General features: G+C 51.1%; 1 protein-coding gene across 2 annotated transcripts in view, besides 1 other annotated feature; it reads left to right on the forward strand.

The window, feature by feature from the left end:
• The window catches only part of NDST1 (N-deacetylase and N-sulfotransferase 1), a 60,433-nt gene extending 52,713 nt beyond the window's left edge, over positions 1-7,720 (forward strand). For both annotated transcript variants that reach the window (NM_001301063.2, NM_001543.5), the window contains 2 exons: positions 1,262-1,364; positions 2,722-7,720. In NM_001301063.2, the coding sequence (NP_001287992.1) occupies positions 1,262-1,364; positions 2,722-2,841 (223 nt within the window). In that variant the 3' untranslated portion in view covers positions 2,842-7,720. The remainder of the gene's footprint in view (positions 1-1,261; positions 1,365-2,721) is intronic.
• Positions 6,617-6,786: an enhancer, noted in NCBI's record as "active region_23421". NCBI's record gives its function as "activates an Ori minimal core promoter by ATAC-STARR-seq in GM12878 lymphoblastoid cells {active_cell/tissue: GM12878}" and the evidence as "EXISTENCE:reporter gene assay evidence [ECO:0000049][PMID:35858748]".

Genomic DNA, 12,163 nt, shown 5'->3' on the forward strand with positions numbered 1-12,163 from the left:
CCTCCCACTATGAGTAAAGGCCTGCCCGCATTGCATGGGCTCAGGGCTAGGAAAGGCTGCTTTCCTGTGCTATGTCACAGATAAGTGACACACTCAGCTGGATGAGGGGACCCCAAGAGAAGGAGGAATCAAGTCACCCTCCTTGGCTCCATTCTTGGGAAAGTTTTGCAACAAGAATATTCCGTCTTCACTGTCGTGGGAGTTGAAGGTGGAGAAGGGAAGTCAGTCCTTCACCTTGAGGGAGAAGGGGCCACCTGCTGAGGCTGTGGGCCATGGTGTCAGAGATGCCTGGGTTAGGGCCCCACATCCATCTCTTCAGCCTTTCAAGCCTCGCTTTCCTCATCTGTAAGTTGGGGATAAAGATAATAATCCCTGCGTCCTGAAGGCCACTGAATTGAATGAAAGCTTCATGTGGGGCTCTTAGCTGAGAGCTTGGCATGCACTAAGTGCTAAATAAACGGTAGCTGCTATTGTCCTTGTCATCATCATCATCACCATCATCATCGTCATCGTCTATACCTATCCTATGACCCTTTCAGAAATCTCTGTTCTCCTTCGCTATTCATGGGAATTCTGTTTTCTTGATGCCCTCATGCTCAAGAATCTCCTCATAGTTCCTCATCCAGGGCTAAATTCTGATGTCAGTATTCCTCCCTTCCCATAACAGCTTCGGATCTCATATCCCAAAAATGCCTTTGAAGACAGGATGATGTTGGCAGTCTTGCTGTGTCATTTCTGAAGTTTACTCCAAAAAATGAAATTCTCCAGTGACAGGCATGCTTAAGTGCAGCTGTGGATACTGCATGTTTTGATAAAGATGAAATTTATTAAAAAGCAAAAGAACCTCCACTAAACACCCCTCTTCCCATTGACGCTGGGAGGGGTAAAGAAGGCTTCTTGGGTTTAAAAAAAAAAAAGAGTTACTCAGCATTGAGAATGCTCAGAAAAGATTTCCCAGAACACTGAAGGATGGGAAACTGTTCATGTTGTAGATTGCTGAAGCGGCTGTGGCTGGTCGGGCTGGAGGAGAGAAGACTCAGAATGTGCGAGCTGCCCTTTGCCGGAAGTAGGACAGGCACGTTTAGTGCAGCCTAGGACACATTTGATCCCACAGATGGCACATAGCTTCTGACAGTCCATGTGGGTTCAAGAGCAGTAGATTCCCTGGTCTCTGCCATTCCTGGGGTCCATGAACATGGCTTTAAGGTCGGAAGTGGGTGGCTGAGCCAGCTCCCATCCAAAGACTTTCCCACCTCCACAGGTTTGATCCAAAGAAAGGATTTTGGTGCCAACTGCTTGAAGGAGGAAAAACCAAGTGTCTGGGCAAAAGCAAGGGCCGGAAATATCCCGAGATGGACTTGGATGTAAGTGGTGGACACACTACCTGTAGCACCTGCATAAGGGTAAGGGGTCCCTGTATGGAGTTGAGGGGGATTCTCTTTCCTTTACCATGCACTCAGCATGTTCATGGCCTTAGCATTTCTTGGACAGTATTTGTAAGAGGAGGAAAATGGGGGCTGGGACATGGTGGGTCAGACCTGATTTCGTCAAACAAGTGTTGGTTACCTTCTACTAAGGGCTGAGTGCTGTGGGGTTTTGAGGATGAGCCAGACATGTTCTCTGCCTTCAAGGAACTCCTGGTCTTGGAGGGGTATGAGTCCCAACACCACTAAGTAGAATACAGGCAGAGAGTGCTGCGCGCAGTCAGAGAGGGCACACAAGTGCTATGGGAATTCAGAACAAGGGGATGTCACTTGAACCTGAGAGGGGTAAAAAAGGCTCCTTAAAGGAGGGATGGGGGTCTCTGGAGTTGCGCCTAGAAGGATGAGATCCATTTTGTAGGATTTGGACATATGGAATGGGAGGGTAGGTAAGAACAGCATGTGTAAAACCATAGGGGGAAAAAAGAAATTTTAAAAATATATAGAAAAAGGGTCACAGACTGGGGGTCTTGTTACTTCCTCCTTTTCCTACTTGCTTCTGTTTTTGTTTTGTTTTGTTTTGTTTTGTTTTTGAGACAGGGTCTCGTTCTGTTGCCTAGGCTGGAGTGCAGTGGCATGATCATGGCTCACAGTAGCCTCGACCCCCTGGGCTCAATCGATCTTCCCGCCTCAGCCTGCCATAGTGCTGGTATTATAGGTGTGAACCACCGTGCCTGGCCCTGGCCCTGCCCGCCTTGGGTTTTGATTATTAATTCTCTCTCCTCTCCCTATCAGAAGAATTTTGACTTAGTGAGCTATATTTTGATGCTCCTGCCAACTGGGAGTTCACTATTGGAGGCTACCATTTAGAAGGAGATTGTGGATAAATAAGAGGTGTATGGGGGGTGGTGCCAGCAGCATGGTGGGTTTTTTGTTTTTTTGTTTTCTTTTGAGACGGAGTTTCGCTTTTGTCACCCAGGCTGGAGTGCAATCGCGTGATCTTGGCTCACTGCAACCTCCGCTTTCCGGGTTCAAAAGATTCTCTTGCCTCAGACTCCCGAGTAGCTGGGATTACTGGCGCCCACCACCTCACCCCGCTAATTTTTGTATTTTTAGTAGGGTTTTCCCATGTTGGCCAGGCTGGTCTTGAACTCCTGACCTCAGGTGATCCACATGCCTCGGCCTCCCAAAGTGCTGGGATTACAGGCATGAGCCACCGTGCCCGGCCGAGCATGGCGATTTTTAGAGGAGGTCACTCTTAAGTCAGTACACAAGGTCTGAGCTTTCCTTCCCGTTACAGTCCCGAGCCTTCCTGAAGGACTATTACCGGGACCACAACATCGAGCTCTCCAAGCTGCTGTATAAGATGGGCCAGACACTTCCCACTTGGCTACGAGAGGACCTCCAGAACACCAGGTAGCCGTGGCCACCACAGCCAGACTGAACGTTTGTGAAAGCTGGGACATCCCACCACACGCTGAGCCAGACCTGCAGAGTGGGAAGCTGGACCAGGGCAGCTGCGCACTTATGAGCAATACTCTGTGGAGGTCTGGTGGGGCTGGGGGAGCACCCAGGCGGATCTGCAAGCACCTCGGAGCACCCACCGCTGGGTCTGCGGCCTAAGGGACCTCCCTCGCCAGCAGAGGTCCATTCCGTTCCCAGCTGCTCCTGGGGAGGCCGCTTCCTGGTAGGAGGGAGTCCACGAGACTCTTTTCTGTCCCTCACTGTGTTCCGCCGACTGTCCCCTCTCGTCACCCATCACTCCCTGCTTCCGCAGGGCGCCCCTCAGTATTCGCTGCCATATGTCCCTGTCCTCCAGGCTGTAGGGGAGGAGAGCCTGGCCGGGGGAGACAGACTGGACATTTCCCTGTTTCGAGCCAGGCTCTTCCAAGGGGCCAGCTGGGTCCCCGGAGTCAGTCCTAGGCTGGATGGGAGGGTGGCCCCCTCAAGAGGACTCCCAGCCTCCACATCTGGTTCCTACCTTCACATCTCACCCTCCCGTTCTGGGGAAGAATTTCTGGTTCCTACAGTATCCACTCCATCCTCAAGGCTTCCCGCAGGGCCTTGGGGCACTGCCTTGCCATCGGGCCCAGTTCTCCGGGCCCCACCTGCACCCCTTTCTTCCCCCTGGGATATGATGTGTGGTGTTTCCTGTGGTAAAAGACTGAGGCAGGCCAGGGGTCTGCCAGTAACATGTTCCCATGTACAGACACGGTCCCCACACCCTCCCAGCCTCAGGCCCAGGCAGACATGGGCGAGCTGGTGAGACTGCCAGCCACGGCTTTGCTTAGCCACCTGTGGCCGAGGGCTCTCAGAGACCCCCTTAACCTCCCAAATACTAAGAAGCTAAAATATTTTAATATTTTGTTTTTTTTTTTCTTGGTGCCAGAGTTTATACCCTGGGTGCTGGGGTCGCACTGTGTTATATATATATATATATATATATAATGTGTATATATATATATTCTATTTTTTTTGGTTGGGTTCGTTTTTAATTCAGTCCTACAAAATGGTGGTAAGCCCCAGTCTCAGGGGTCACCCTGTCTTAGAGCTAGAGATGAGGTGGCAGGGAGGGAGGCTGTGTCCTCAGTGGCCTGGGGCTGAGCAGACCTTAGGAAGGGGCCCTCCCCAGTGCCGTGGCTGCTCTGGGGCTACCCCAGGTGAACAGAGGTGGTGAGATGCGCAGGGAAGACCAGCTCTCTCCAGGACATCGGGCTGCGTGAAGTCCAGTGACCCTGAGGGGATTTTGGCCAAAGGAAACAGCCAGGGCTGGGCTAGGAGAGCTGGGGTCAAAAGCTGCCCCACCCACTCTCCCTCACATGGTGCTAGGCTGGGAGCTGCCCTGAGAGCTGGGATGCCCACCAAGGCCCACAGAACTGTCTCCAGGCCCTTGTAGACAGTGGGATCTCTGGGCTGATTTCTGGTTGGGGTCTGCTCCTACCCCACCCCATTTAACAATGTGAAGTGACTGAGGCTGGGGTGCCTCTCCCTGGCCCCCTCCAACTGCCAAATTCTGCTTCCCTCTGAACCCCAGGAAATACTTTCTGGAGAGGCTTGTCTTGTTCAGAAGACTCTAGCATCTTGGGGCTGGAAGGTCCTTTGACGGGTATGAAACAGGTCCAGAAAGGGGAGGTGGCCTGCTTGGCCGACGTCATGGAGCCAGCTGGGAGCAGGGCTGAGCGTTGAACCCGAGGCTCCCGGTTCCAAGTCCCATCGTGCTCCTCTTCCAATGCCACACTGCCTCTGAGCCCATCCTTGGGACCCTACTCTGTGCCAGGTTCCTGTCCCTTCCTCCGTCACAGCATGGTCATTCCAGGATATGGGGACAAACCACTCCTTCCCAGCCAGGGTGCCTTTGAGCCTTCTCATTCCGAGGTCTGCGTTTGCATCCCTGTCGTGTTCTCCCTCGAGGGGTCCTTCCCCAGCCTGTGGGGGCCTGGGTCTGTTCTGAGCTGATTCCCTTTTCTCCAGTTCTCTGCTGGGATGAAGAAAGTTGGACACTCAGTGGGACCAGCTGCAGGTGGTTTCACTGTGTACACAGCAGTGTCCCCATCATGCCTCTCAATGGGGCCTGCAAGCCTGGGAACTTGGGCATCGTTGGGCCAGCAGGATGAGCAGCAAAGGGTCTGAGGACAGGGTGGCATGTCTGCTTGTGTGCTCATGAAGACATGCCCACGCCATGGAGCCAGGGGCTTATAGAGAGGGGCAGTGACTTCCAGAGTCCCATCCGTCAGTGAGGGGACTGGGCTGCGGGATGGGTGAGGATCTTACAGCTCCCAGGTTCGGAAATCTACCCTCTAGGCCTGGAGGCCTCTCTCGCAGAGCATGGAAGGCAGGAGAGGTGGGCTGGCCTAGGGCAGGAGCTCCACTTCTCTCTGCCTCTGGCTATGGGAAGGAGCAGGCGGTTGGAAATCCTGTGACAGCAGAGATCTTCTGGATTTTTGCCTGGACCCTTCTGCAAGCCTGGAGACTGGACCTGCCACATGTTCCAAGTCTGTCTGCCTAGGTCACTGCTGCCACTTCTCCTCCCACTAACAGACCTTTCTTGAAGACCCACTAGGTCCAGACACTGCCGGGACTTGCAGGTATGGGGGGTAGAAGGAGAGGCAGATAAGCTGCCTGGGGGGCTGTTAGCTAATGGGTACAAGGACACCCCCTCCCGAGAAGAGAAGCCACAGATGAGTGGGCCAGCGAGGCCAGTCTTCAATGTCCACTAATTCACTCTAAGCATTTGGCCAAAAAAAGGAGAGAGAAATAACTGAAATTGTTCAGGTGGCTCCATCGTCTATTCTGTGGTCCCCTCCATGAGCCTTTGCCCCAGGGTGGGTGCAGGTGCGAGTGTCACCTGCAGCTGCCTCAGTCATTCAGAGTTCCAGAGCCTTCTGTGGTGGAGCATCCTGCTGCTTGGAGGATGAGTCTGAAGTTTAAAAATGGGCCTTTTCTGAGCCCCCCTGATGAGCAGTCAGTGCTTCTGGGCCCAGCTAAGGAAGCCATCTGTTCCCAGCAGAGGAGAGCTGCTGCGCTGACCTGCAGAGGTTGGTGGTCCCAGCACAGAGCTGTGCCCATGGGCTTGTTAGTGGGAAAAGCAAATACAACAATGTTTTACCAAACATTTAATTATGAATGCCCACTCCCCAGCATCTAGATCTAAAATTATTAACATTTTGCCACATTCTTTTTCTCTCTCTGTGTATGTATATGTTTTCTCTGTCCTAATTTAAAAGTACATTGCAAACATCATGAAACTTGATCCCTGAAAGCTTCAGCCTGCATCTCCTAAGAGTTAGGGCATTGTCCTACACATTGGCCCAGTATCACAGCCAAGACGAGAAGTCATTTCCCAGCGATGTCTGCTATCTAATCTGTATTCAAATCCCCCCAATTGTCTCCCAGGTAACTTATGTGTCTGGTTTTGGAATCAGCATCCAGTCACGGTGCACACATTGCATTTTCTAACTATGTTTTTAAAACCTCTTTGAATGCTGAAAGGTCTTCCCTCAGCTCACTTTGAGTTTTTAAATGACATTGTTTTTGAGGCCCTAGGCCTGCTGTCTTTTTGAAGCCCCACATTCTGAATTTGTCAGATTGTTTGCTCATGGTGTCGCATAACCACTTCTTCTATCCCCTGTACTTTCAAGGATAATTTAGGCTACATGAGATTTTGCCTTTTGTGCTGACTTGACAGCTTCACTTCTGCCTAAGATGCGCCTCCACTGTCACCTGTACCAAGTGCCAAAACAGCAGAGGGGCCAGTTAGAGCAAGAGCTCTGGGGGGGCCGGAAAGTCTCCCTGGAGAAGGCCGTAATATCTGGGCCTTGGAAGGAAGGACACAGGGCTCTGGAAGGAGGAGGCTGCATGCCTGAAGGCTGGGCCTTCGACCCTGGGGATGGGCCACAGGGCACCAAACACATCATATGTCTCTCTCTTTCTATTTTGGGGTCCCAGGGTTTTCATTTCCTGGAGACCCGTGGTCTGTGTGCACTGGAGCAGAGCCAGGCTCTCAGTTGCAGCAGGGAAAAGCCTACATGGGGAACTGCCTCCCGCAAGCTGTGGTGTGAGAAGAGCCCTGGCTGGCAGCAGGAGCTGTGAAGTTTCATCCCAGCCGGGTGCATTTAGTAGCTGCCTGACCATCTTCCTCCCAGGCCCTCAGTTTCTTCATCTGTAGAATGAGCAGATAGGGGCCACAGCAGGGATTTTCACACATCAAAGGAGGCAGCCTCTGCTCTAGTTGATGTGAGGATGAGGGGGCGGCCTAGACCCCCTGCTGCCCAGGCCGTTGAGGCAACACTGGGTTCCTGGCTTGACAGCTGTGGGCTGGCTGCCCTTGCCAGCTCAGACGGCTGGCGAGTTTTCAGCTTCCCTAAGGGACTGGCATAGGGTTTTGTGGGGTCAATGCCAGGAACCTGGGGGAAACTGGATGCGTTTTATCCTAAGAAGTTCATCCCTCCTGCTCTTACTGTTTCCGGCCCTGGAGGAGAATGAGGGAGGAGAGGGTTTTCTATGACTGTGTTAGCTTTTATTATTAGCAAGAGGGCTCCTTTTGTAATTTGTGCATGAAATTCATGTCATTTCCTGGGAGAGGAGAGGGCCGACTGGAGAGGGTGGGGGGCACACTGGGGAAGCAGGCAGAGGTTTCCTTCCCTTGTAGGGGGGTGGGGAGAGTGGGGAGAGGGGGTGCTATCCAGTTCGCCTGATGAGGGCTCTCGAACCAGCCGTTTTGGGTTGTGTTAAAGGTGAGACCTTCCTCCATTAATGTACAATCTCGAACTAACTGCTAATAAAGTGGGGTTCTGTTTGTACACCTTGGTCCTGTCTGACCTTTTTGCAAGGCCCGCAGGGAAGGGTGGAGTAGGGGTGTTTGCATGCACGGCCAAAGCCCGCTTGTCCCTGCCACCTCAGGCATGCACACGTGCCCACATGTATGCACACACCTATACACATGGTGACTTGGTCAACGCAGATCATTTTCACTGGGTTATAAATGGAAGATTTCCCAGATACAGCAGAGGCCTATCCTAGGGCAGCCACAGGGGGCATCTCAGGTGATAGAAGCCCTCAGACAAGCTGGATTGCTCAGAAGCCCTGGGTGTCGGGCACTGGACCGAGAGGAGACTTGGGGGCTGGAACAATTTCTGCTACTAATGTATATTGTAGCTGGGGGCAAGCCACTTTTACTGTTTTATCCCATTTCCCTCACCTTTTAGACGCATGGAGGGAGTTGGACTCCATGGCCTCACTTGAAGAACTTGCCTAAAACATGCAGATTCCCAGGTCTACTTCCAGAGATTCAGCTCCAGCAGATGTGGGGTGGGGCCCAACATCTTTAAGGAGCCCTCCAGTACACTGAGGAATTTATAAGGAGCCCTCCAGTACACTGAGGCAGCCCAGTGTAACTCTGGCTCAGAGTGGGAAACTCTGACTCAGATCCATGGTTCCTATGGGTTCTAATTAATACGGAGAGCCCCACTGTCCAGGAAAACTTAGGGTAAAACAAATGACTGAAGCCCTCACAGCCTAATTGAGGGCCAGACTCGAGATTTGCCTGGAGAAGGAGAGTTCACAGGTAGGGGCCCAGGCCAGTGTCTGCAATGCAGGTGATCAGACATGCTCCTTCAGAATCCCCTTGGGAAGCTTTAAACAATATACATTCCTGGGCTCCCCCAAAATCTGCTCACTCAGAACCTCTGGGGTGGGACCCAGCACTGTGTACTTTAACAGACTCCTTGGTGTTCAGGGAAGTTTGGGAACACTGAATCAGGCCACCATGTTTGTCAGAGACGGTACCCAGAAATGTGCACAGCTTCTGAGGGACAGAGGAGGGGCATGCTGGGGACACAGCTGGGCAGTCCTGCTTCCCAGGACCCAGTATGTTCAAAGTGAAATACCACAGTGCCACCTCTGATGGCACAAGGGCAGCACCTGCAGAGCCCTCTTTGCAGTTCGTCAGCTGGGAGCTTGGTTTGGGTCAGGTGGCCCTCACCAGCAAGAACACAGCTGGAGGCTGCATGGACAAGAGCAGATCCAGAGGCATGGTGCAGAAAGGTGACTGTGCCAACTGAGGGGTCAGCCTGCAACAGGGATTTTTGAATTTACATACAGCTGAGATTCTGTTTTGAAAGAATCACTTAATTGAAAACCAGGTAAAGGTGGGGGTGCTCTGTGGTTGGAGTGGGAGTGAAGCTCTGGACTCTTCCCAGCTCACCTCCTCCCTGTCTCTCAGGCTATCTTGGAACCCTAAGATTTCTCAAAACACATTGTGAAAACCCAGCCCAGTTGCTTCCAGAGGTCCTAAAAGTCCTGCAGTTCTAATAGGCTGAATGAGTAGCAGCCCATCAGCCCCTCCTCACCCCCCACGGGGATGTCCACCCAGTAAATCTGGTGCCCCAGGAGTGGTTTGGGCTTCTAGAGGTGGGGAGTTACCTTGGAGAAGCCTGGATCATGCGTGTAGGGCAGTGTGTTTCACAATAGGAAAACGCTGGGAACAACCTAGATGTCCATCCACAGGGTCTCAGCTAGGTAACCTCCAGTGTATCCATTCACTGTAATGATGATTCAGTTGAAAGTAATGAGCTCAGTCTCCAAGCCCTGCCAGGGAAATTTCTATGACAGACTTATACAATGTGACCATCATGGAAAGAGAACACTACAGTTTGTATTTTTCCTGGGGTTGTAGATAGACGTCTCATATCAAACTGATACTAGGGGAGGAAAGACTGAGAAGGGGAACTTTCAAAGGAGACTTCAGCCTTGGCTGAAATATATATAAGACAAGGATAATGCATTTGCATATCATTTGTGGAATGAAAAAGTCTTAATGAAAAATAGAAATGGACAAAGCAGAAAGGGGGACTCCAAGCAGCTAGACTTACATGACGATGCGATGAAGGCCAACACTGCTTTACCCAGCCCTTAAGCTCCTATGGAGTTAGGATCTGGAGGAGGCCTAGGTGCCGGTGATCAATTTCTTGCCTGGCTGCATTTATCCTAAGCATTCGTGAAGACCCTGAGCTGAGGATCCTGACTTTCCTGTGACTGTAGGCCAGTCTCAGCTCCTCTCTGGCCCTGGGAGCTTAGCTTCCCCAAGCTGACAGACGGGGGAGCTAGGGTTAACATCACCATTGCTGGAACAAATTGACACCATGTCTCCCGATATGATGCAATGGGAAGGACCCAGTGCAACACCTGGGAAATTCCTAACGAAAACACGGGACATGAATCCAGCCAAGGGGAACAGACAGACACATCCGTATTGAGGGACATTTTGCAAAATAACTGGCTTGAACTCCAACAATGTCAAGGTGATGAAAGATACAGAAAAGCTGAGAAATGGTTCAGGATTAAAGGATACTAAAGAGATGTGGTAATCAAATGCCATGTGTGACCCTGGAGGGGTCCTGGACCATGAAACAATTAGCTATAAAGGATACCATAGGGACACCTAGCAGAATGTCAGGATGGACCGTGTGGATTAGATAATACTATTCAACCGATGTTCAATTTTCTGGTTTTGATTATTTTACTGTTATGTAAGAGTATCTAATGAAGTACATGTGAGATATTAGTTTTTTGAAATTACTTTTGCACCAACCTAATATTTAGGGGTAAAAAGGAAGAAATGGAACTGAATTTTGACTCCTGTTCTTTCTCTAGTGGTACTAGATGGTAGGTACTCATCAGATGCAGTCCAAAAGATGTCCACCAGGGGGCACTATTATCCTAGCCTCTCACAGTGTAGTCAGCGCGAATGCCTCCCGGGAAGACTGGGCTGGTGGTTAATGGTGGTGGGGCAATAATATTATCAATATTAACATCAATAAATTAAATAATATAAATAAAAAGTATTTCTTATCCTGTCAGGCAGACCCTCTGCTTATCAAGTGCTATCTTTAAAATTTTTTCTTTTTGTGACAGTGTCTCACTGTGTCACCCAGGTTGGAATGCAGTGATCTCGGCTCACTGCAGCCTCAAGCTCCTGGGCTCAAGCCATTCTCCCACCTCAGCCTTCTGAGTAGCTGGGATTACAGGCATGCACCACCACGCCAGGCTAATTATTTTGTATTTTTTGTGAAGATGGGGTTTTGCCATGTGGCCCAGGCTGGTCTTGAACTCCTGGCCTCAAATGATCCTCCTGCCTCAGCCTCCCAAAGTGCAGGGATTACAGGCATCGGCCACCTTGCCCGGCCTCTTTTAATCTTCATAACAATCCTCTGAGGTAGGTATTATCATTCCCATTGTATATTTGAGGAATTTGAGTTCAGAGAGGTTAAGTAACTCTGTCAGGATCACAGAGCTGGTAGTCATTGATCCATGAGACTCCACAGCCTGGAGTCCACTAGGCTGTCCTGCCCCCTGGGCCTGAGGCTGGGAATGTGTCCTGGCACAGGGAAATGCCATGACCATGAGGCAGAGTGGGGACAATTCCCCGAGCCTGGCTCTGCCCTTTTCAGGGCTGGGGACTGGGTGATCCTGGGAAGCTGTTAAAGGTGCCTAACAGTATGTGTACCTACAAATCTAAAACAGAAGTACAAACAGGGAATGGTGTGAGATGTATGTCTCCTTCCACTCCCTGACCTTTGTCCTCCAACTCACTTCTTCAGAGGAAACCACCATTAGCAGTTTCTGTGGATCTTTCCAGAAATTGTTTTACATATACAAACAGTTGCGTGAGCATGCACACCCTGCTGGTGTGTACCCTCAGGCTATTCTGCACTGTGCTTTTCCATGGGGGCCTCTGGTCAGTGGGTGGAGGGTATTTACTGCTCTGCATGGCAGCAGAGGGCTCCTCTGCATGGGTAATTGGTGGAGGGTGTCTGTTGCTCTGCATGGCAGCAGATGGAGGGCTCCTCTGCATGGGTACTTGGAGAAGCTCTGCTCTATTACACCTTTCAGGGAGTGGGGGTAAAAACTGGAGCTTGAATTCCTTGGCCTTTGCCCCATTCTGGGGTGTTCTCCCTTGGGAAGGAATAGGCTGTGCAGCACAGTAGTCAAAATATGCACAGCCGGGTAGATCTGGTTTCAAATACAGGCTCAGTGTTGGCTGTGTGACCTTGGTCAAGTAATTCATGTCTCTGAGCCTCAGTCTTTGCTTTTGTGAAGTGGGGATAGTCACAGGACTGAGGTGACAGAGATGTTGTGAGGAGTGAAGAGACAGTGTCTGGAAAGCCCTCAGCAGGAGCCTGCTACACAGTGAGTGCTCAGTAAAGTCTCTGCCAGTTCCTGGTTTCACACACATACAGACCCCA

This window comes from Homo sapiens, chromosome 5, assembly GCF_000001405.40.
Source record: "Homo sapiens chromosome 5, GRCh38.p14 Primary Assembly".
In the NCBI taxonomy this organism is placed as follows: domain Eukaryota; kingdom Metazoa; phylum Chordata; class Mammalia; order Primates; family Hominidae; genus Homo; species Homo sapiens.